The sequence below is a fragment of the Homo sapiens genome, chromosome 9 (assembly GCF_000001405.40).
Source record: "Homo sapiens chromosome 9, GRCh38.p14 Primary Assembly".
NCBI classification, from domain to species: Eukaryota; Metazoa; Chordata; class Mammalia; order Primates; family Hominidae; genus Homo; species Homo sapiens.
This window is the reverse complement of record NC_000009.12, coordinates 16706147-16729856: the sequence shown is the minus strand read 5'-3', so window position 1 is coordinate 16729856 and position 23710 is coordinate 16706147. Positions and strand designations below refer to the sequence as shown.

At 37.7% G+C, this 23710-nt stretch overlaps 1 protein-coding gene and 1 long non-coding RNA gene across 29 annotated transcripts in view, besides 3 other annotated features; one reads left to right on the top strand and one right to left on the bottom strand.

Annotated features, from left to right (window-relative positions):
• The window catches only part of BNC2 (basonuclin zinc finger protein 2), a 461168-nt gene that overhangs the window by 140814 nt on the left and 296644 nt on the right, over nt 1-23710 (top strand). For 24 of the 28 annotated variants that reach the window (XM_047423494.1, NM_001317939.2, XM_047423514.1 and 21 more), the window contains one exon: nt 1860-2060. The exons of the other annotated variants lie outside the window; for them this stretch is intronic. In XM_047423494.1, the coding sequence (XP_047279450.1) occupies nt 1860-2060 (201 nt within the window). The remainder of the gene's footprint in view (nt 1-1859; nt 2061-23710) is intronic. 28 annotated transcript variants of the gene reach the window in all.
• BNC2-AS1 (BNC2 antisense RNA 1) lies at nt 2333-3043 on the bottom strand. Its single transcript, NR_151723.1, has 3 exons — nt 2902-3043; nt 2751-2826; nt 2333-2542 (listed from the first exon to the last, which is right to left on the bottom strand). It is a non-coding gene; the product is annotated as a BNC2 antisense RNA 1 (long non-coding RNA).
• Nucleotides 2959-3460: an enhancer, noted in NCBI's record as "H3K27ac hESC enhancer chr9:16726395-16726896 (GRCh37/hg19 assembly coordinates)". NCBI's record gives its function as "activates a minimal SCP1, AML or CMV promoter by ChIP-STARR-seq in primed H9 embryonic stem cells {active_cell/tissue: H9 hESC(primed)}" and the evidence as "EXISTENCE:reporter gene assay evidence [ECO:0000049][PMID:30033119]".
• Nucleotides 18671-19319: an enhancer, noted in NCBI's record as "VISTA enhancer hs307". NCBI's record gives its function as "enhancer in: hindbrain (rhombencephalon)[13/15]" and the evidence as "EXISTENCE:transgenic organism evidence [ECO:0001131][PMID:17130149]".
• Nucleotides 22795-23295: an enhancer, noted in NCBI's record as "H3K4me1 hESC enhancer chr9:16706560-16707060 (GRCh37/hg19 assembly coordinates)". NCBI's record gives its function as "activates a minimal SCP1, AML or CMV promoter by ChIP-STARR-seq in primed H9 embryonic stem cells {active_cell/tissue: H9 hESC(primed)}" and the evidence as "EXISTENCE:reporter gene assay evidence [ECO:0000049][PMID:30033119]".

Sequence of the window (23710 nt, the reverse complement as noted above, 5' to 3'; positions counted from 1 at the left end):
GGGAAGGTCAGGAGCTGAGCAGGCAGCTTGACTGAGGCACTGAGTGCCACTTCAGAAATCAAGAGGCTAGCAAATTTTAGAGGGAGTTTAAGTGGGTAATAGCTAGCACTAAAGGTACAGTCACTGTTGACAATTGACTCGTAGGGGATTTTCCTGCCCTCCCCCCCAGCAAGAATATTTTTATTGACCACAGGTGGACTTAATATATTTTAAGGCAACAATTCTTTGGGTTCTTGTTTGTTTCCTCTCAGATATTGAATTTGCTTCTTTTGAGACTTTTTTGTGCTTAATGGTGGGGAACTGGAGGGAAGTTTAACAGAAAAGCTTTCAGGAGATGTCGGTTCTAGAGGGGAAGGCACATTTGTGTCAACATAGTGTACGTTTTCTCATCTTTTCTCATTGTCCACTAATGACACAGAGCTGCCATTGAAGCTCTTTTCTGTTTCTTTTGTTGTTTCAGAGAGTAAGGTTTATTGTTATTCTTGAGTTAAGAAGGAACAAGGAGAGTGGTACATTTGTCCTCGATATTTGTAGGTGGTTGAAGATTAATGTTCCTTACATGTTAAGTTTAGGAAGGATGGCTTTTTCCTGCTGACTACTTTTATGAGATGGCATGAATTTAGCTTTCCATTTTGAACTTACTGTTTATGTACAGTGCATTTTGTTCAGTGCTGCTTTTCCATAAATAAGGCAGACAAATACTATCTAATAAATAGGTGAATAGTTTTAAGACTTGTTTAATTAAAAATACGACATGTTATCAAGGGTGTATTTCATCAGGCAGGAAAACGTTATAGAATTTTCCACAGAGATCTTGAATAAAAAATGGAGTTTTTATATTCATTACTTTTTGCCTGAAATGGGACAGGCTTTTTTTGTTTATCTTTTTCTTTTCTTAACGATTTGAAAGGATATTGCAGATGCTTCATCTAGGAACTTTAACAAAGGATTTTTTTCTACTTCTGAGCTTTAAGAAAAGGTATACTTTTTTCCTTTGCCATTCAGTTTCTCATTAGCTAACATCCAGTTTAGTAATTAATAGCCTGAGGTACTAGATATTAAATAGTATATATTTATATTTGGCAAATGTTTATTGTGCATCTTCTATGTTATAAAAACTGCTAGGCTTATTTGCTTACTCTTTAGAGTATAAGGTCACATCTCTATGTACGTTATTTAGGAGTTTCTATGTGGTTATAAATAGCCCAGCACATACGAGATGACTTTCAGGAGCTAACATTTAGACCATAACTGAGCCAACTTTACATTCTCTTACAGCTGAATATTTTACTTTCTTCAGTGTAATTAAAAAAAAATTTAAGTATCACAGTTTTACAAATGTTAAAGCCAAAGACTGGTGTCAGATATTATGTGTTATATCAGAAAGCATTGTTGAGAAAAATTCCCGGGGAAGGGCCCTAGCTTCCCCTTGCCCTGTGCACCGTGATTGTGGTGCTGCCTGGAGTGTGCATAAGTGTGTATCTATCTGTATATCTGGAGAGGGGTTAGTGCAGGGTGTCATTTGGTGCCTGACAGTGGAACAGTGCAGTTGACTCTTAGCTCTGCTATCCAATGACATGCAGTGGCTGAGAGTTTGAAGCTGATGGTTGGGTCTCCAGTGCCGCCTGCACACCTGACAGGCAGCTGTTAAACTGAGCAAAGGCAAGCTTGGGGAGTCACAATCTATGCATAAATGATAGGGATATCTGTGCAGAAGGTGCGAAAGAAGCTCTGACCCCCTCCCTCCCCCAAATCTCCCCCTTCCCAAATGAAATGCACAGTTCAGCCAGCTTCTTAACTACACTACACTCCTGCTACTGGCTGCCAAGAGGCTCAAAAAATCCACCTTCACTTTTCAGTCAGAAGAGGCAGAAGTGGATGTGAGAGAAAGAGAGACACAGAGAGACAGAGAGCCAAAGAGGGCAAGAGACTTGACTTTAAGAGACTCCTGTACTGACAACTCCATGCAGTTCGGAACCAGAACGACTACGGCTGAACCAGGGTTCATGGGGACATGGCAAAACGCTGATACTAACCTCTTATTCAGAATGTCCCAACAGGTAAGTTACTTTCTTTCTTGATTTTTTTTTTCTTTTTTTTAAGAAACCTTGAATTGTTATGGGCACTTTTGTTTCTGGTGTTTTTCTTTCTAAATACTTTTTAAAATGTGGTCACTTCCTAGTTAGGCTCTTGTTTTGTCATAACTGTGTTACTGGAATGTGCAGGGTTACTTCATGGTTTCCCTAAGGGCGTCTTAAAAGAAAAAGGGGAAAGGATACCGAAGTAAAAGAAAGCAGAGACATTGTTGAAAAGTTTCACAGTACAATCTGGGTCAGGGGAAGACTTAATTTATTTCTTTGTTTTCTGTTGAGAATGAAAAAAGCCACCTCCCAACAAATGTATCTATCAATATGAATCACTTCGTCCAAAGTGTTTGCTCTCTCGGAGTAGGTTCCGCAACCTAAAAAACAGTCATCAAATCTCGGGGCCCCTCAGAACAGCCCTACTGACTTCATGTGGCTGGAGGCAGCTTCGTTCAGACCTGAGAAGAGAGACGAGGCTGTGCAGGCTTGGCTGCCAGCGCCGAGGGTTGCTGGAGGAGTCGGCGTGCGTGGCGGGCTGTGCTGCTCGGTCCTCGCTCCTCCGCTCCGCTCCTCCTTGCCAGCCAGCCCTCTGCGCCCGCCCCTGCATTCCCTTCGCCGGCTCCGGCCCGCTCTCCCGCCCGCCCGCCGGCCCGCCGGCGCACTCACTCGGGCGCAGCCTCGGCGTCTTCCCCAGAGCCGCTCCTCCGTCCCGGCCGCGCTGGAGGCGTTCGGCTTGCTGGCTCTGCTGGGAAAGCCGACGTGGTAGCGCGAGGCCATCGGTTACTGATAATTAATCACCGGAGCCGGCGGCTCGTACCATGCGCTCCGTGATACGCGCCCTGTGCGCCGGTCTCCTCTTGCACAATTGCTGGCTCCTTGGCTCCGCGGGGGAGCGAGGGTGAGAGGAAGCGAAGGGGACACAACCCAGAAACTTTCATCTTGGATTGTGCTCAAGTGAGGGAGGGAAGTTCCCTGGTGCCTCCCTCCTAGACACGTCTTGCTTTTCCAAAGCCTACACCAAACCCACACAAAGCAAGTTAGTTTGATATTATCATCCACACACAAAGCAAGTTAGTTTGATATTATCATCCACACAGCACGAAAGTACTATTGACAAATATACTTGGATTTTAAGTTGACGGCGGTTATTAAGAAATGTTGTGCCACTCAAGAGGAAAAAAATACTGCAACTGCTTTTTTTTTTTTTTTTTTTAAAAAGCTTTTGTTTGTAAGAGTTCACGAAAATTAAATACTTTGAGTTAGATATTTAAAGTTGTTGATAATAAAAAAAAAACAATTTGCCAGGCTATAAACTACTACAAGTTTAGAAATACATTTGCAAGCGATAATACCTACAACCAGGGTTTTGTAGCATTTAGCTAGAGAACAGTTTTAGCACACAATTCTAAATAGGATAAATGCATTTGAATAAGGTATATTTTGACATATCCTGTAGAGGGACCCTGATTACTGCTGATACAGTAAGCTGGGATTTAAATGCAATCAACATCAACCCAATAAGTAACTCTTCATGTGCAATTTCCCATTCTTTCAAGTGAAAAGTTCATTTCCACACAGAGATGCTCCTTGTCACTGCAGAGCGCTGTGAGAGGTGTTTTCCGCGACGCATCCCTGCCTGGGTGGCTCTCGCGTGTTGGAATGCAGTGTTTTCGCTAACCTTAGTACCAAATAACTTGTGCTTCACTTTTAAAACTAGATGTCACCTTCAGGGTTTTCCTTGAGTTAGTGGAGGTCGTGTGTGTGTGTGTGCGTGTGTGTGTGTGTGTTAGAAGGGAAGATTGGCTTACGTCTCCCTCTAGCTAGAAAAGAGTTAATAAAACCAGATAGAGATAATGATCAATTGATAAATGGCTATTGAACCACATAGATGGTGTTAGATTGCTTATTTGGCACTAGCCCATTTCCAAGTAGATTTGAATCTAAGGAGATTTTGTCATGGAAAACATTTTAACTAAAAAACAAATAAAGTAATATAAATGATGGGTCAGAATTAGGACAATTTATGATGTCTTTGATCCAGCTGTCTGACTGTGTGGATATTTTGTGTGTACCTGTGTGTGCATATATGTGTAATGGTGAGCATCAGTGATTATATGGAGAGAATAGAAATATAGGGAACTAATTTATGCTTAATGGATGCTATTAAAACTGTATAATATTATGCTATTTATGAAATAGAGTAGTACAACAAAAGGAGAGAAATCACAGTTTTAAATATGTTTTCTTTTTTTTTTGGTTTTGATGTAGTTAGCAATCACTCCTATCCCCCCAACCCACCTTTTTCTGTCATGGTCACTGAATGTTTACCTCTTGTGCATTTTTGGAAAGCATGTAAAAGAGGATATGAGCTTGCATTTTTTTTCTCTTCAAGATGACATTTTAGTTTGTATAAATATTACATAACTTAAGTTCAAACTATGTGAGTGAAAGTATGTGTGCTGTTCATATTTAATATGTTTGTTTTTCTTACCTGTAGTTCATCAGCAATGCTGATTCAGCACGTGTGTGTGTGTGTGTGTGTGTGTGTGTGTGTGAGAGAGAGAGACTTATTGAAATTATATCTCTGATATCTCTTGAAGCCAGCCATTTAAACGAGTATTACTTTCAATATATACAGTTACGCTAGTTTTTGTTACAGGTAAAAGTTTGTCCAGTTTAATCAAATATGTAGAATTCTGTACATCTCATTGCTGAGGCATAAAGAGGTTTCTCTAGATTATGATTATTTTATTTCTAAGTAAAATTTACTTAGCTTATGAAATGAATAAAATTTATTGGGTTATTTTTTTTAAAGTTTTCTTTAATAGTATAAAAACTAATATTTTCCTGATTATTTATTTAGACGTTTGAAAACTCTGACTAGTAGGGCTGCTATAAAAGGTTTCAAAACTGAGTTACAGATAATTTACCATCAGTATTTAACTATAGAGAAAATTGTGGGAAATGTCCATGAATACTGAAATTTAATAATCTAGTTTTATGTGTTCTATTAGTAAACTAGGAAGTAGGGATACAAAAATCTTTGTCTTTTGTTTCATATGAGCAAAGTTGGATCTGCTTAAATGTACATCTTTCATTCTGTCTAATAGTAACAAATAATCACAATCTGAAGCCAATTTAGATTTAGTGGGATGAAGTATGTGCCCCTAAAGTTCAAGTGAAGTCTATTTGACTACATTTTCCTGTGCCTGTACATTTTTTCTTCTATACTCAAGTATGATTTTCTCAAATTATTTCTATGTATATAGCTGAGTATTTGAGAACATTAAAGGGTATGACACTTGTGTAAAGGGAGTTCTTCTTTGGATCAGTTTGATCAGTGACAGGTGGAGAAAGAACCTTATTTTGCCTATTTTAGTTTCACAAGGTACTGTTAAAAGCAAAAAATGAGGCTTGCTTTTCAAAGTTTTTTTTTTAATCACACTTGAGGAGGCAATTCTTCTATTTGTATAAATATTTTGTGCATTTGAGAGAATAGTAAATAAAATTCTTGTAGCTATCTCAAGGGATGTAATAGTCCAGTCTATTTAAAAATCTTTTTAGAAAGGAAACCATAAAGGTATATAGCTATAGCCCACATTTAATGTGTTACTAGAGACATTTACCTTTTATTATTGGTGAGGTATATTTAACCTGTTTCAAATAAAATGTAGATCCCTTAATAAGGTCTTTTTTCATACTTGAGTGAAATACTAAGTTAGGATTATAAATGACTCTCTGCATCATTATGTAGTAATTTAGGATTCACCCGATGATGTAACAAAATTAACAACATAATTTCATTGTGAAACTGTGTCTTATTAAAGAACAACTGTCTGACATTCTCTTACAGTTGCTTTATTTAACTTCATGCAAATATTATTAGTAGTGACATTTTTCTATTGTGCATTAGATTCTCTCATTAGCATGATGTGTTAGTTATCACCAGAGAAATCATTTTTTAGATAGGTGAGGGGCAAACCAAGAAAGCTAAAAATTAAATCAACGATTTACATTAATACCAGAGCGTCTGCTCACCAGAGATATGACAGAGTAAAAGCAAACTTTCTTACTAATATAAAAATCTAGCACCTTTCAGAGAAATGATAAATAAAATATAAGAAATGTATAATAACATTGCTAGAATCCATTTAAAACAGTGCTCAATATGAATTTTCCTCAAGAAATCTTTTTTTTCTATTCATATAGGCCAACAATCTCAGTTTCTGGAATCTATATTTTTAAATGAAAATGTTTTTGTCCCCCCCCCCAATTTTTTTGAGTATTTATTCACTAGTCATTTAAAAGGCATATATATATATAGTATTACAAGTCAGACGCCTAGTTGTACATTGTGGTTTGGGTCTTCTTTATAGTTCATACAACGCATTTTTATTCTAAACTCTGTCCCACTCAAATAGACATCCCTTTTTACATAGGATGTATATTCTTATTTAATCAAAGCCCTGAGTAAAGCAGCTGATAGTTAATGGTCTTTGAAAACGACTTTCATTGCCAGGCATCATCCATCCCTAGCTTGCTTTCTGCAGTTTTCTCCATTTTTTACTCCCTTCCTTACAGTTAGTATGTTTGGATGATCTTGTCTTACTAAAAAAGGATTAAATTGACTAAACTTGTGGTCTTAATGCTAAAATAAATATTTATATTAAGAGGCATGCAGTTTTAGCCTGTTGAATTACTAGGCTACGACCTCCAATTTAGGCCCCTCTTAATTTGAGTGGTAATATGTTTTATTTTTAACAATAGACATATATTCAAATATAATTCTCAGTATATTGTCTGATAATGTAACACTAAAGTAGGAATATTTGGGTATTTGTATTTGTTAAGATACAAATTGTAGCATAGAGACAGGTGCTTGGTTTGTCCTAAACTTTGAAGGTCTATGGATAACATGCAGACTTCACATAAGAGATACCGTCTCATTTGTAATGCAGTGGGAAAGTAACAGTTTATATATATGGTATTCTATGTACATGTAAACGTTAACGCAAGTAAAGCATGCACAAACATATTCTCAGGTGTGTATTTTGTATATGTTAAAAATCTGTGCACAAATTTGGAGTTTATTTTCAACATGATTCATTTAAATGAATTTGAACACAGTAGGTGATCGTTTTGAAATTATTTAATTTTCTCACCTTTCTGTCATCTGCAAACAGGTCTATTATGTTTGTGTAATTTGTAAAGCCTTTTGCTAAGGTGAGCCAAGTAACTGCAGTTGAAAAATAAATCCCTCTAAGGTGCAGATATCTTATCTATAATTGTAGGTATTTTTTATAATTATATTTATGAGTGTATATTCACATTCACTGATAAATCCAATTATTCATGCATAGCTTTATGGAAATCTGATTAATGCAGTGACAGGACAGATTTGGGCTGCCACAGCAGCACATCCTCCCACTCCCATGTCAGGGTTAAGAGCCACGGCAAATCCTCCCTGACTAATTAGATGCTGAGTAAGGCATCTCTGAGAAGTTGGGGCAGAAGTGAATGGGTCACAACCAAGGCAGGATTGCAAGGACTCCAGTGATAGTGAAAGCATTCAAGTTTGCCAGGTCGTTGTGACACAGGGAGCTGATTCCAAAGGAACAGTCCGTTACAGATAGTGAGCTGGCGTCATCCACTTGAATGAAAAACACAAATTCTGGTGCCTCCCTCTCTCTACCTTGTATGCATTACACACACTCACTTAAAAAAAGTTGCATTGGGCATCTGCCGTCATCTGTCTGCAAAGCTTTTGAGAGGATTTTCCTTGTAAACGTGAATAGCTAATGATTCTGTATAGCCCAAGAGGTATTTTCTGAACTTGGCACTCTAGATTAGCACATATATCAAAAGGAAAGAGGAAAAGAAATTGGAATTTGTTTTTAGCTTGTGTCTATAATTTGAACCTTAGTGTTTGAATCGATCTAGGAATTAACTCCTTTTTCCCCCCAGAGTGCTGTCAGAGAACTTTGTGGTTGTAGAGAAAACAGAGTGAATCGGGTAGGTTGACTTTTTCAGTGAGAGAAATTTTCTGTGGGATTCCCTGCTTGTTATTGTCCAAAGAACATGGAATATAATGTTCCAAGATTTCCTTTCACGGTAGGTTTGGAGCCTGGTTTGTTATGCGTGTAGAAATAATTCGCCATTTGAAAATCCTCTTGTACCTTTGGTGGTACGCTTTTGTGGTCTGTTTATGGTGCTGCTCAGTGACCACCCTTCTCCAGACCTTGGTCAGAAGATTGTTTGGGGGTCCTAGGAAGTGATGGATCTCACTACTGTCTGCCAAAGCTGATGCCATTTTTTATTTCCAGAAAAGCAGCTGGCTTCTACATTTTGCTGGGCGATCTTCATCTACTGTAAGGACCCTGGAGACAGGAGAAAGGGAGTCAAAGACCCTTTCAAGAAACTGACATCTATTTTTAAGCTTTAGAGAAACAAAGGAAAAGAGACATAATTCAGGAACAACAGCCTTTATATCCTCACATAGAAACAAAACATTGGGTAATAGAGGGAATGTTTTCCTATAAGAAAAACTGGTAAAGATGCAGGAAAAATAAGATGAAAAAAATCTGCTAAGCAGCTCAAGGTCTAAGAAGTTTTAAAATGTGCAGATGGCATCCCAGAAATGATGTCTGGGGCCATGACATCCAGGGTCCCCACATTTCCTCCTCATTGAGCCTGACCTGTACTGCCATCTTTCTCCCCAGGTTTAAAGAAAGTTTAACGAATAGGAAAAATAAAAGTATTGATTATTTTTTAATTTGTGCGTTCCCTGTAGGAAGCCTCGCAGATTTCACAGTGTACATTCAAACCCTCAGGTGAAAAATTTATGACTGGAGTTCATTTGGGTGGAGACAGTGTGCAGTGTCATTCTGTTCAAATGCTGTATGTAGCATTTCATGCCACGAAGTGCAGAGATCAGGAGAAGAGAGGAATCGCTGTATGTTTTCTTCATTCATAGAGCTTTCTTTAATGGAAATGCTTGTGGAAAAACAACACATTACTCAAATTGGCTAGTTTAGGAACCAAATTCTCAACTTATTAATCATCATTCCGATTAAAAAAAAGAATTGATCCTTTAACAACAAAATAATATCCTTTTGTTTTTCTTTAATTAAGCCCATCAGTTTTTCATTTCTCTCTGTAAAGAAAATGAAAATAATCTTGAACAGTAGGAAGTTACTCATTGAAACAACTGATTCTCTTGAGCATATCTGACGTCTTATTTACTCAATGCTTTTGAACTGTAATGTTATTTCGCTACTGTCTTTAGGGTTTATGTGTCATTGAGTGGTGTTGATTTATAAATCTCATTCATATTTGGTTGGCAGAAATTTACTTAATGACCTAAATACAAGGTTATTCTGTTCCTATTTCCTTTCTCATAGAGGTAATTTCTTTCTCACTTTATTCTCTTTTCTTCTCATCTCTCTCATTCTGAATTCCTCCTTACTTTCACTGGCCCTTTTTGCCTTAATAGAAGAGAATTGAAATGCACCTGAAACGTAGCAGTAATTGAATAAATACCCTTTTGCCAATACATCATTCTGGCAGAGGCATGAGAGAGAGGTGCCACCCTCAGGTGTGGTCCTCTGTGAGTGCTGACAGGACTGTCTCGAGTGTTGCTGTAGAAGGGTTCTTTGAGTAAGGGCATGATAAAAACGTGTAACCAGGGGCCCTGGCTTATCATTCAGAGGTGCTGAAAGGCAGCTCAATTTGATCCTTAGCCTGTATAAGAAAGTACTTAGTTGAAGAGAGATTTTGCTTTCCTTTTTTCTTCTTTTAAAAACCTAATTCTTGGACTTATTATTTTGTGCAGTTAGACTTCTACACGAGCTTATTTCCCTACAAGAAGGAAAAGATACCAAGGGCAGTGCAGTAGGTTGAAGGGATGATTCTTTCAGACAAACTGCAGCTAGTAAGAGTTAACAGAAACATTTAAAAAAGGACTTGAAATGATGGTAGGACCAGTATTAATGGATGGTATTATGAAATTAAAATTTAAAGCATGCAGTATACATAACACATGAGGAGGATTCACTCTTGTTTTGTATTTAATAAATTTTAACCCATTGTCTCACAAGGCATACAGATTGTTAAAATTGACAAGACTGAAACATATTCTGTATGGGAAAGACATAGCTTTCAATATTGTTACCTGCTGTGCTTTTTTGAGACTGTCATGAATTTTTCAACTTTATTAAGGTGTCTTTTAGTGGCTATTGGTTCTCTAGACAGTTCTTCAGAACTCACATTTTATGATCGGAGTACCTGAACTGGGTGTCTGAAAAGGAAGATAACAGGTTAGTGAACGTTTTACATGACAACAAGTAATTGCTTTCAGCTGGCTTAAAATAATAACAAAACTAATATTAAAATGAGAATCTCCATTAGAGGATTTTAATAATTTTTTTCCCTTTCCATTAACATTTAAATCAAGAAGAATTTCATTGATTTAAATCATTAGGGTGGCTATTTGGGACACCTGATCAGGCATAGATTAAGAAAGCTGCCCACTACTGCGCCCTCTGCCAGTGCTGGAGGTCAGTGGACATGGCTGGGATGTCACCGGCAAGATATGGGGAGTAATTATACACTGAGCATATTCATGAGAGTGTCCCTGAGTGAGAATGCCTGCAAACATTCTCATTGTTGACCTCATGCCAGAACCTAACTTGGAGTCAGCGAGTTAGCTGCTGTTTAATATTGCTTTTCTTTTATTCTTTCTTTTTTAGGTATAAATATTAGAGTACCAGAAAGAACCAAAACCAAAGTCTGGCTGTAAACTTTGTGGAAGGACTTACTGTCTTGAAAGTACTAAAAATCCCATATTGCCACATTATGGTAGTGCATTTATATGTAATGCGTAGACATGCAGAAAGTGTATGCCTGCTCCATTGGTTGGCTGGTGACAATTAGGTGACTTAATTCTATGTATGTTGAGGATTTGCTAATGACTTCCTCAGAGGCAGTGAGCCTGTGGGTGGCTTTCCCCAAAGAGGCATTCTCCATCCTAAGAATCTTGTTGTAATTATTCCTTATACTATGCTATCTATATAGCCTTTTTCCTTTCTTGACTATAGCTTTTTGGTGAAACTCAGTGTCATTCATTGGAAAATAGCATGATGGTTTCTTATTTTGTGAACTGCCATTTTCAGCAAGTGGGAGACTACAGCTTACTTCAGATAAATTAGAATTGCGCTAGGATAGAGACACCAGGATGAGTCTCTCTGACTCAAATTTCAGATGTCTCATTATTTCCCTTTCTAGCAACTTTTGTTTGTTCTCTTGGACAACTTTGGAAAGTAATCATGGGACTGAATGGAGCTTAAAATATGTTACCAGTCCTATCATGACTAAATACTCTTCATTGTGGAGAGGAGTTTTTTCATTTTTACTTTATTTTTGTCATCTATTATAATGTAAGTAGGAAGGGATAAGAAGAATTCAAACTCCAACATCTGGGAGAGCTTGTTTCAGTAGCCAGCCGGGCAGCCGGAAAGCTGGCCTCATACAGGTGAGATGTGTTATGGGAATAAGGGCCTTGTGCACTTAATGAACCCTGCCTGCCTGTCAGCCTGGTTTTTCATGTACCATTGTTGTTCAAATAAGAAAAAGAGAGTGTTCACAGCCTGTGGTGAGATTAGAGTAATGAAAATGAAGTGTTAATCTGTTGATAGGAAGCACATCCCATATCCTGCATCCCGGGCCACATTCATGCGTGTATAATATATTCCAGGTTTTCTCATGACCAGAAAAGCTTGGGTGTTCATTATATTGAAAACATCCTTTTAGTAAAAGTGAGAAGTTGGTTGTTTTAACTTGTGTAAACAGTTATTTTAAATAATTTCTTAATAAACCAACTGCTGCTTACCTTCTGAGTATTCTGATAATCACTGTTCCTGTATGTGCCAGCAGTCCTGTACTTTTGATCTTTTAAATTTTTTTTACAACTGCAGAATGCCGAAAATGAGCTTCAATATAAGCCTACTTTGAGATACTCTTTTCTCAAAGTAGGCTTAATAGAGTGATTAATAGAAGGAGTTAAGTGACAGTAATACTTTTCTCTCCATAAAACACAGATTAACTAAAACATCCATTATCTCACACTTTATTTTTCATCTTAAAACAATTAAGTAGAAACAAAAATTTGTGAATTGTGAGTCTTCCAGAACTGCTTTACATATTTGCAGTCAGCTGCCATGATGTGAACCTGAGGAGACCAGCTTAAAGCTTTGGTCATCACATCATGGTAGGGAATTGTGTATTTCATAAAATTCTCTTTCTAAGATGGTATAAAAGGCAAATTAACATGAATGTAATGAAGTATATACTTTCCTTAGAATGTTTGTTTTAATTTTTGTTTTTTAAATGATTTTACTCAGTAATTAGTTGAGAAATTTCCATTTTTTTTCCCTAAAGCTATATACTTAAAAAAGAAAGAAAGTAAGTTTAGTCTTGGATTACAACAAGGCATTTTAAAGAAAGTAATGTGAACACTGGTTCAGTGCCCTTTATATGCAGGTCATCCTATAAGATCATATCTTTCAGATGCATCGTAAGAAATGGTTTGAAGAAAAGTGTGAAAGGGGTGCGGAGAGATAAATTAACAACTGAGTTCCAGGTGTCTATTTCTAATTGCTCACATTTCAATCATAATGGAAATTAAGGAAAAATGTTTCCCATAAGAAATACACTGTCATTCAGGCCTACCTAAGACTGCCTTTATGGAGTTCATGTTTACGGTATTTTCTTTTTTTCTATTCACCTAGGAGTTAAGGAATGCTACAGTATGATCATTATGATTTTGTGAACTGTTTACTTAAAGTTGTGCAAGTTGCTAAGAATCAAGAGAATTTGGGGATTAAAGTCCGATTGTGAAGTAAATTTGGCATATGTTCAGGGATTACATTCTTTAGGTAAAAATGGAAGAAAAATGCTTCCTTTCGGAAGGAAACACCTTAAAAACTAATCTTTCAAGCATGTGGTGCAATGATGAAACATAATGTAAAAACACTATAGTATAGTTGATCCAAATTAGTTGGCATATGACTGGTCATAGCCTACGTACTACAGTTTGCATGATACGTAAGCATTTCTGTACTGTAGTAATACGTCAGAGATAGCCTGTTTTTAATATAGTTGGATGAAATGAGAAGGCCGTTGCTTCCCTCTGCTAAATAGGGTATTTTTAATTGGTTTTTAAAATCCATTAATAGGTAGAAATGCTGTGTCGTTGTGATTGATTGGGAATAATGAAATGTAAAAGATATTCTCCTTGCAATTGCTTTCATGTAAAAAAAAAGTAGATATAAAGAAGTGCATGGTGACTGTGTCATAGACATCTGCTTTTAGGTAATAATCATTTGTAAAGAAATATGCCATGACTTTTTGGGTCATTTGAACCCATAATAATGTCTATTTAATGTAAGTATAAATGTCAGATGGTGGCATACATGTGGAGTCAGTAAAGATGAATATTTGCTGTGATAATAGTCATGCATCTTAAATGTTGACTTTTAAAATATACCTTGAAGACATATCCTATTTTCATATTACAGTACATTTTCACTTAAGTACATGATAGCTCTAGAAAGGAAGTGTGGAAGTGTTAACATGTGAAGGAACAAAATCTGAGTAATGCTTTGACATGAGCATCTATTTTGGGCTTCAGAGAAATAGGTGGCTGATTGAAAACCAATGTAAAGATTGTTGAACCACTCTGTAAGGCTGGGTCATCAGTTCTGGATTTACTATTTTAAAAAACATTTAATTATGAAAATGAGTTTCCTTTGGTTTGCACGAATGTTTCATTGAAATGAAACTTGCTTCCCATTGTCTTATATTCTGTAAACTTGTGAAATATGTATTTTTAAATCTCTGTTCTGAGAACACCCTCTTCTTTTTTTCCCAGAAACTCTAGAGTAGTATGACATTTTAAGGAGTAGTAGTTGTCTAAAAGGGCCATGTGGAGGTAACAAAAATTAAAACAAGTAGAGTGAGTCTAGTGGGAACTGTGGTGGACCAGAAAGCTCATGTCTCAACCACAGTGAGGTAGCTGCTCCTTGGTTCCAGCCGATTGTTACCAGGTGGGAATGCACGCCCAGTTTGCCAGATCCACTGCTGCTGCTTTATAATGATGAGCCAAAAATCCAGATTTTTATGTGAAATCTCCTGATTTTGAAATCTTGGCAACCTATTCAAATATTTTAAAAACTGTGTGGTCTAAACAAAACTCATCTGCAGGCTACATTCAGCCCTCTGGCTGCCAGATAGAAACCTCTGTTTTAGATAATATTTTAATGGATGAAGATAATAGTTTCATTGCATGTGATCATTCATCTTGGGAATTCCCCACTGGGATCAACCAAATTCTTCATTTTTTCCCCTGTGATTAGAAAAAAAGTTTAGTAAATATATTTCTGGTGCTGATAGTTTTGATGTATAGCTTTTCTCCTTATGACCCACATTTAAAGAAAAATCACCTGTGTGGGCAAAACAAAAAAATAGTCAAATAATTTAAATAAAGGTAGAAGCATAAGGATTTTAAAATAATAAAAGATTTCTGAATTCTGAAAATAATCCCATGATTTGTGTAAGTAATTGATGTAGATGAAAAGCCGAATTCAACTATAAAAAGCTTTTCGTCTCACCTTAAAGCGGTAGATTCTTGGCCCTGAATCTTTGTGGGATTGCTATAATTTACCAAGCAATTGATTATGATGTCACAAGGAGGAGATGGACCACAAGGGGGAAAACTTCCCCCTACTAATTCATGCAAGGCCAATATTTTATACCTGCTTCAAGAAAACATTATTTATATTGTATAAGATGAGGTTTAAAATGCCTGTCTATATTTTTTGAAGGGTCTCTTTAAAAGAAATTATCTATTCATAATTGAAATTCTCCAGGCAAATCAGTTATCAGCATTTTCAACAGAACAGGTAATTAATTGGTTTGAATTTCAAATTGAAGGTCATCCTGTTATTGATTTTCGTGGGAAAAGGAAACAAGAACATCCTGTTAAAATGATCTGCAAATGGGGCCTAGGTATATCTAGGCTCTTTCTAGGGTCTTGTTTAACAGCATCACTGAACAGTGTCAGAAACCAATCAGAAGGGAGCCATTTGTGTTTTAAACATAACAAGTTGTTGGTTTGCTTCCAAAACTTCAGAGAAGAACTCAACTGGAGAAAAGACCAGAGATTAACAGTTTGTGTTAGAGTAAGTCAGATATTTCAAATCAAGTGCTGGTGCAGCTTGTAAGGAAACATCTATAAATGTGTCAGAATGATGCTGGTATGCCATGTTCAAGAAGTTCAGCATCAACACAGCTGTGACTTAACGCTTTCAGAAACCTTTCAACTGGGAATTAGATAAAGTATCTTTAATATAAGGGGAGGGAAGCACTGAAGTAAAAGAGGTAGCGAATAATGGAGGATAAAAGAATATACCCCTTTAGATGCTGTTAATTTTTATAAAATAACATTTGTGCTTTGTGTTTGCTAGATAGTTTTATTGTTACATATGCTAGGCTATTTCAAAGCATTCATTTCTCTCCTCTGCCGTGTTTAAACTTTTTGAGAATGGTGTAATGTAAAGGTAACACAGACGAAGTGGGTGGCAGACATTTTGCCTTTCTACAGTAAACCGAAATTAGTATCATTTTGGTGGTTGAGGGGAGACAAGGTGTGGTTCTGTGGCCCAGGCTGGAGCACAGTGGTGAGATCTGGGCTCATGGCCAGCATCCACCTCTCCCGCCCAGGCGCAAGCAGTCCTCTTACCTCAGTCTCTGGAGTACCTGGAATATAGATACACGCCACCATGCCTAGGTGATTTTTGTATTTTTTGTAGAGATAGGGTTTTGCCATATTGCCCAGGCTGGGCTTGAACTCCTGAGCTCAAGCGATCTGCCCACCTCAGCCTCCCAAAGTGCTGGGATTAGAAGCATGAGGGCACCACGCCCAGCCAAAATTGAGTAAGTATTTTAATTTTAGCTGCACTAACTAGGTTGGAAACTTAATGCAGCTTCTTATGGTTCAAAGTAAAATTCTTAATAAAAAAAAAGGGCGGGGGAAAGCCTTCCATTCTAAATACCCTGGAGCTGTTAGTGCAGTTATTTCTAAGTTGACATACTTTTGTATAGGCATGACAGTGGCACCAACCATCTACATTAAGCCTTAACATTCCACAGAGCCATTTCAAGTTTATTATGAGCTTCAAAGCCTGCACATCCCTAAGAGAATATCAAGTTTAAGCATGTCACTTTGCCATAGTCACAGTTAACTTTCTTAAAAAAAAAAAAAAAAAAAAAAAGTGCCTTTTCCTAGGCTGGTTTTCTACAGGTTATCCTTGAAAAATTTCCCAGTTCAGTACAGTCATTTTTCTTACCCGTTGTTTCTGCCCCCTTGAGTTCTGTAGATTTATCCTGTTGGTGATGGTTGGAAACTACCTCCAAATAAAAGTAGTATTGGTCACAATTTGTTGAAAGGTCTATGACTATGTAAGTATCCCTTTGCAGCTTTATTCCTAGGGCTCAAGACATTGATCCCATTTTACCCATTTCCATTTGGGTTTCCATTGCAGTCCTTAAAAAAAAGTGTAGCTGGGGAGAAAAGGAACATGTAAAACTGTAAAATTGCTAATGCTGTCCTAGTACATGACAATTTCCCACCATGGAATGCTCCATGGGGAGGACGATGGGCCTGCTCAGCCTGATCTTACGGTACACTGCTTCTCTTCTTAGGGAAAGGAATTCCCCATTTCCTGAATGTGAAACGCCTACCCTTTTGGAGCCTCCTAGTCTTTAGTTCCTACCTCAGTTAATAAACCATCCCTGTCTATGCCTTGCATCTCAGAGATGGAATTTGACGGACTAGTCAGCATTGCAAAGGTCACCCTAAAGCTATTGGCAGAATACACTGCCCTTTGTTGCTCAGTGATGATAATGCTACTGTAGCAGTTAACTGGATGTATTAGACTGAGCTACTTTTCCAGAATACCAAATTATCTATTTATTTCTTTTAAACACCTGATAAAATGCCCATTTACAAGCTGTCTCAAGTGTATTTTCAAAAGGGATCTTAATGATAGTGAAATATCAGTGCTTTGGCCTCAGAAGAGATAATCTGTGCAGTGTGTGTGTCCGTTGTGTTGTTTTGCTTCCACGAAAATACTTCTAAAATTATACTCATCTTTTAGTGTTTCAGTTGTCTGAAACTAATCATGTTCCAACAAGTTTGAAAATTCAAGGTGTTAAAAAACAGTTTTATTTACATTTTGTCTTCTGTTAGTGCAATAATACTCTAAGATGTTATGAATTGCTTTATTTTGGAAAAAATCTTATAAAGCTTCATTTCCATTCCCATTATTTCCCACAAATATAAAAATGTGGAAATAGCATTTTTGGCTTTAGGTTATAACTTTACACATAGTGTAAAAGTGGATGTCACCATCTTTTTATATCTTTAAATCTACTCACAATTTACTTACTGAAATTATATTCAGTATTTATTACTGCTTAAATTATATTCAGAATTATAGAAGAACAATTAATGATCATGCTACTTGAAGCGGGGGAGCTATACTTGACATAGTTTTGTGTTTTGCGTGTGTAAACTGATTTTGTGACACCACAGTGCAGTCTTGATATAATTTTTTGTACACAGGTAACATTTTTGTCTTGGTTCTCACCTAAATAAAACTGAGTAATGATCCAAAGTGCTAAGGTATTTGTGACTTTCACTAATTATTTTCACTTATCCATGTATTTTGTACTAATTACTTTCCTAAATGATTTGCCACATGCTCTTCTATCCTGTAGTTCTGTTTTGTCCTAATCAGATTGGGTGAGCGATTAGGGATTTAAAATTACTACTTCTTTGGTCTCAAAACGAGTAAGTGAAGACTCAGAGAAATACCTTTAATTTGCCTTTTAGTATTTTTGAATAAAGCAGACTCTGTCCTGCCTTCCTTTCATGCATGTATTCATTGTTTCTTACTGAGTGAGACAAGCACATTTAAAGTAGAATATATTCCTTCTCTCCAGAATAATAGAATGAAATCAGTGATCAAGTAATTTTTCATTTCAGTAATTCAACAATCAATGGAAACAAAACAAAATGAGTTAGGAAAGAATAGTTTGCATTAAGCTCAGACATGGAATAATATTTGAAAACAAAGTATCACTATAGTTTTGTGCTGTAGGTTCTTCCTGACCTAAGTGATTGTTGAAAGGACTTTCTCTAGTTTAGAGGTATGTTTATCTTCGAACAATAATCACTTCATGCTGTTCTTTTTTTCCTAGTTGACCCATTCTCCAGACCTTTCAAAAACTTTTTAAGTGGATGTAAACTCCGTTTTAATTAGAGCAGTGCAGTCTAATACTGCAACTAGCGAGGAATGGAAGAAACGTGCTGGAAGTTAATACAACCCAAATCAACCACAGCCAGATAATTCCCCTGATCTTTGTAACAACCGCCCCCCCTTCCCCACCTCCACAATTAAGTGACCCTGTTGTTCTGTAGTTTCAACGAGACATTTAAGGTTCATTTAAAAAAATGATCATCCTTTACAGGATTCTTTGCTCTTGCGTTTCTCTTTCTTTCTTCCCCTTGCCACACAGCTGTCACTGGTATAGGAGAAAGACTGGGGGGAGGGGAGGAGGAGGAAGCCCTGCTCAAATCGTGTCACGTAGCACTAATTCATCTGCTCTCATTAGAGGGAGCGAGGGACAGCAGTGATGGCCAAGAGCTGCACTCTACACATGACACGCGAACAGTTTGGGGAATAGAAAATTGCTTTCTCAGGAAGCCCAGCCAATTAAGGACTTGACCATATTGAATGTCAAGTGTTAATTTAGGTTTTTCTTCATTTTCCCAGTAGTAATGTGGGTCCTGTGATGAGCAAATACATGTCAAGTAAAAGTTGATTGCATGAAGGACCTGGGTATTATATGTCACTGACAAGTCACAAATGTACTGAAGTCTTTTAACCCCTTAGGTGAGTTGGGAGGGGGAGGGGAGAATGGGATTAATGGTACCATAATGATAAGAATAGATAGTTTATGTGGGGGTGGCTTGGATGGGACAGACAGGAATGGTAATTCATGCAAAAACTGGGGATAGAACAAATCCTACTCTGAGGGCATAAATAGAGACCCTTGAAAAGCATACATGCATATATATAATTCCCACTGCAAACACACTGCCCAGAATATATGTTCGGTCTCCTAAGATTTTATGAAAAGGGAAAATAGTGTACTCTGTGGTCATGAACCAGGAAATTCCTTATTAATTATCTCATTTGAAAGAAAGAAAACATTCATTAAATAATTACACTGTTTTGGATATTTTAGCCCTTTGGCTCAATGCCACTGTAATATTTCTGGCTATTTACTTATAATTTCAATCTCTAATATTTATTTTCAATGGACTCTGTGTGATACATGTCATAGGAAAGATGCAAAGCATAAGACTGAAAGAATGTTTGTTTTCTGTCTTGAGTATCTCTGTAAGGTGTTGTTTAACCAATAGAAACTGGTGGAAGGTCCATCATTGTCATTCATTTCTTTTTGTGCCCAGGTGTAGGAGGGGAAGAGATTCAAGCTTCAGCAAGTGAAGTAACTTTTTTTTTTTTTAAATGTTGAACGTTGCCCATCATGTTTAGCATCTCATTTCCATTCATCAGCATTCATTTACATATGAATGTCTTGAAAATAAGAGAATGTCTGTTTCTGTTGCAGTTGTACATGTAGCAAATAAGAATGCCTCCAGTTTAGAATACTGTGTGTAGTCTGGGCAATCTTAGAAGTTATTCGTGATTGGGCCTTGTTTTTCCTTTATACCTATAACCACTTTTCCCCTTCATATCTTTGAAGACATAATCTTAATTAAAACACTTTCTTGAAACCTACTCTCTTCTATTTATTCCAAAATTTTAACACACTTGCCTTTGTATGTTGACAATGCTTAAACTTTGAAAATTTAAGTCTGATCATACTTTAATTTTGGCAACAAAACTTACTAACGTAGTCTTTCCCTGTCTCTCCCACAGGTTAGAAACTGTGCAATCATTATATTAAAAGTTAACTAAATTTTATTAAGGAATAATTAGGAAACAATTCCAAGAATTTGATGTTTAATAAAATAGGTTTTTCTTGAGAAAGAAATAGTCCCTCTAATGAGGCTCCTGAATGCTGGGCTGGCATCTGAGTTCTTTAACATCTCTCCTCCATGTCTCAAAACTAACCAAACAAAATTCGCTTAACTCTCTCTTCCCTTCCTATTTTGATAAGCTCTGTGGAACTGTGGTGGCATTGCAAGTGTACTGTTTAATTAAAATCCAGTTGTCAGCAGGCTCTCTTCCACTGGGTGTGCTGAGAGACTTAAGTAAGTTTCCATAAAGTAAATTCTGACGATGGCAGCGTGGGTTGCTGATTCAAGTTATTCCTTCTCTTCTGTGTCACTTTTGACGGATGGTACCTAATGCAATCAACCACAGGCCGAGAAAGCCTTTTCTTTGGTTGCTTTAGTAACTGGACCAGGAGTTCCCCTCCCCACTTCATCTCCCCTTCAGTGGCTTGCTCACTCCTTGCTGCCACCCCCACCAACACTTCAGCCCAAATAGGAAAGCGGAAAGAACAGCAGAACTACCTAGGACTGGCTGACAGGCTTTCCCTAAACCTCCATTTCCCAGCGGTGAAGCCGAAGCTGCCTCCCTTTGCGTGCGTTTTTGATAAATTTAAGAAGTCAAATCGCTGACACAGATAGATAATCCAAGTGTATAGGGTGAAGCGTTATAAATTAACACATTATTCCCTCTTAATGTGAAATACTTGAGAATGCATTTTCTGAGTCCCCTGACATCTACCCAGTGAGGGCTCACATTGTGCTTTTCTAGTGGCATTGATTTGTTAAAGCGCTGAATCAGCATCTCAGGCCAGCTGCCTGATCCACTGTTTTGTTGTGGGGCTCCAGCTCCTCCTCTCTGCCAGCAATCCCTTTTTTCCTTCGGTCTTCCTTTTCTTTTTCTCTCCCTTTCCCTACTGACTCCTTCTCTGCTTTTTTCCATTTTGCTCCTCCCCATCTCATTCTTATTTCTTTTTCTCTCTCACCCCGCCCTTCCTGTGGCTTGCTTTTGTCTCAATCTGGTTTTCCTCCCACACCATCTCTTTGCTTTTCCTTCCTTCTCTCTTTTGTCCATACACATCTTGTCCTTTCTCATCTCTGAGTGAGTTTTCCCTCACTCAGGGTTGGTGTCTGTTAACTGCCTTTGCTTGCATGTGCATGTTGTATGTGTGTGTTGAGGAGGGGGTTGATTTAGCCAATCTCTCGACTCCAAATGAATCCCTGCAGAGCAGAATAAATTAACGTATGCCTGTTTGCACATGCATGTCCTGTTTTTAATAGAAGTTCATGAGAAAACTTTCACCTATTTTGCTTTCTAGAAATTAAAACGTAGCTTACAGAACTTTAAAACTCTTATTTCTAAATGCCATTTAACACAGTAAAGTTTTCTTTTGGCTCAAGGAAAATGGAAATCACGGCTGGTTATCACAGATTTGATCTACTCACATTGTACCCACCAAAATAAATTAACATTTCTACAAAACTCTGGGCACCTTTTTGAATTTCAGTGAACTTACTGATACGACATTTTTTCTTCAGCAGGTTCTGTATTGTTCTGATTCCACTTATTTGTACTGGTACAATTTCATAGAAAATAGTTTTCATCGTGGTATTTGTAGCATGCTCTGATTTCCTAATATGTGATGCATCGCTATACCATAGTAGTGAATACTTAGATTATAAAATTACTTTGGCCCGGCGTGGTGGCTCACACCTGTAATCCTAGCACTTTGGGAGGCTAAGGTGGGCAGAGCACCTGAGGTCAGGGATTCCAGACTAGCCTGGCCAACATAGTGAAACCGTGTCTCTCCTAAAAATGTAAAAATTAGCCGGGTGTGGTAGCACATGCTTGTAGTCCCAGCTACTCAGGAGGCTGAGGCAGGAGAATTGCTTGAACCTGGGAGGTGGAGGTTGCAGTGAACTGAAACCGTGCCACTGCACTCCAGCCCGGGCAACAGAGTGAGACTCCATCTCAAAAATAATAATAATAGTAATAATTACTTGGCAACTTGTTTAGAACTAAAATGAGATTGCTTATCCTTCTTTTAGTGATGTATCCCAGAGTTCCAGAGGTCTTCAGAGGAGATATATTACCATGGAGAGGGTTACATGTACTGCAGGTGCAACTTCACAGACCTCTTTTCATAGGCCCCGGTTCATCCTTTGAATATTGGTCCAAGATACTTTGGTGTCACTGTGTTGATTAACTTGATATAAGAAGAAAAGTGTATCTGTTTGGACTAAAATAGAAATTAACCTCTGTAATTTTAATCTCACGGCATCACTTGATTCTTCCTTCAATTTTACTGGGTTTTACTCTAGTAACTTCACACTAGTAACATCAAAATTGGAATTTGAATATGCACATTGATAATAAATCAGATTACTTGAAAAAAATCAAATGTCTATTGCTGTTGTTTTTTTTTGGCGGGGGGGCGGAGTCTTGCTCTGTTGCCCAGGCTGGAGTGCAGTGGCGCGATCTCAGCTCACTGCAAGCTCCGCCTCCCGGATTCACACCATTCTCCTGCCTCAGCCTCCCGATTAGCTGGGACTACAGGCGCCCACCATCACGCCCGGCTAATTTTTTGTATTTTTAGTAGAGACGGGGTTTCACCGTGTTAGCCAGGATGGTCTCGATCTCCTGACCTCGTGATCCGCCCGTCTCGGCCTCCCAAAGTGCTGGGATTACAGGCGTGAGCCTCCGCGCCCAGCCTTCTTGCTGTATTTTATATAGATTAAACTGACAATTTGATTTCAGCATTTGCAATTTGAAATGGAAGTGTTTCACATAGGTTTTGGTAACCTTTGCTTCTGAGTTGGATTGATTCTCCCCTCCCCCCAGTCAAGTATAATTCCTTTTTTTTAAAAATTAATTGCTGTCCTCTCATGAATTAGCATGGCTTGGCTAAGGTGAAGGGATTAGAATGACTTTTCAAGGCATGATAATGTCTGTTTAAAGGAAAGAAAAAGAAAAAAGTCTTTTAACTAGGGCTTAAGACTAATTCCAGCTACTAAGGAGACAAAAATTACTCTAAAGAAGACAATTTGGTTTTATTTTATATGTGCATGTTAACCTGCTTTGAGATCATCATTTTGTATTTTAGGGTATTCTCTTAGATGAAGTAAGATGTTCTTCATTTGTTACTGAAAGGGGACATGGCCTCACTCCAGGAGATTAAAGCTGGAACACCTTCTGCCTTCTGTAGGGATAATCACAGCTCACCTGGCTGTAGCTCAAGGTCAGGGCAAAAAGAGGGGACTTTGTGCTTTTTAGAATTGCCTATGACTACAGTAGAGAAGAGGAATAATAAAACAATTGGACAAGATTGAAAGTGAATGTGCATCATATGAAGATAGTTAATAAGATGAATGATCAGAAAAAGACAATCTGGAAGACATCCTTCAGTGGTAGGAGAATCAGTGGTAGAAGAAGAAAGGGGTATTTTGGGGTGCAAAACTATGACCTCTGTTAACTTGCAAAAATTAG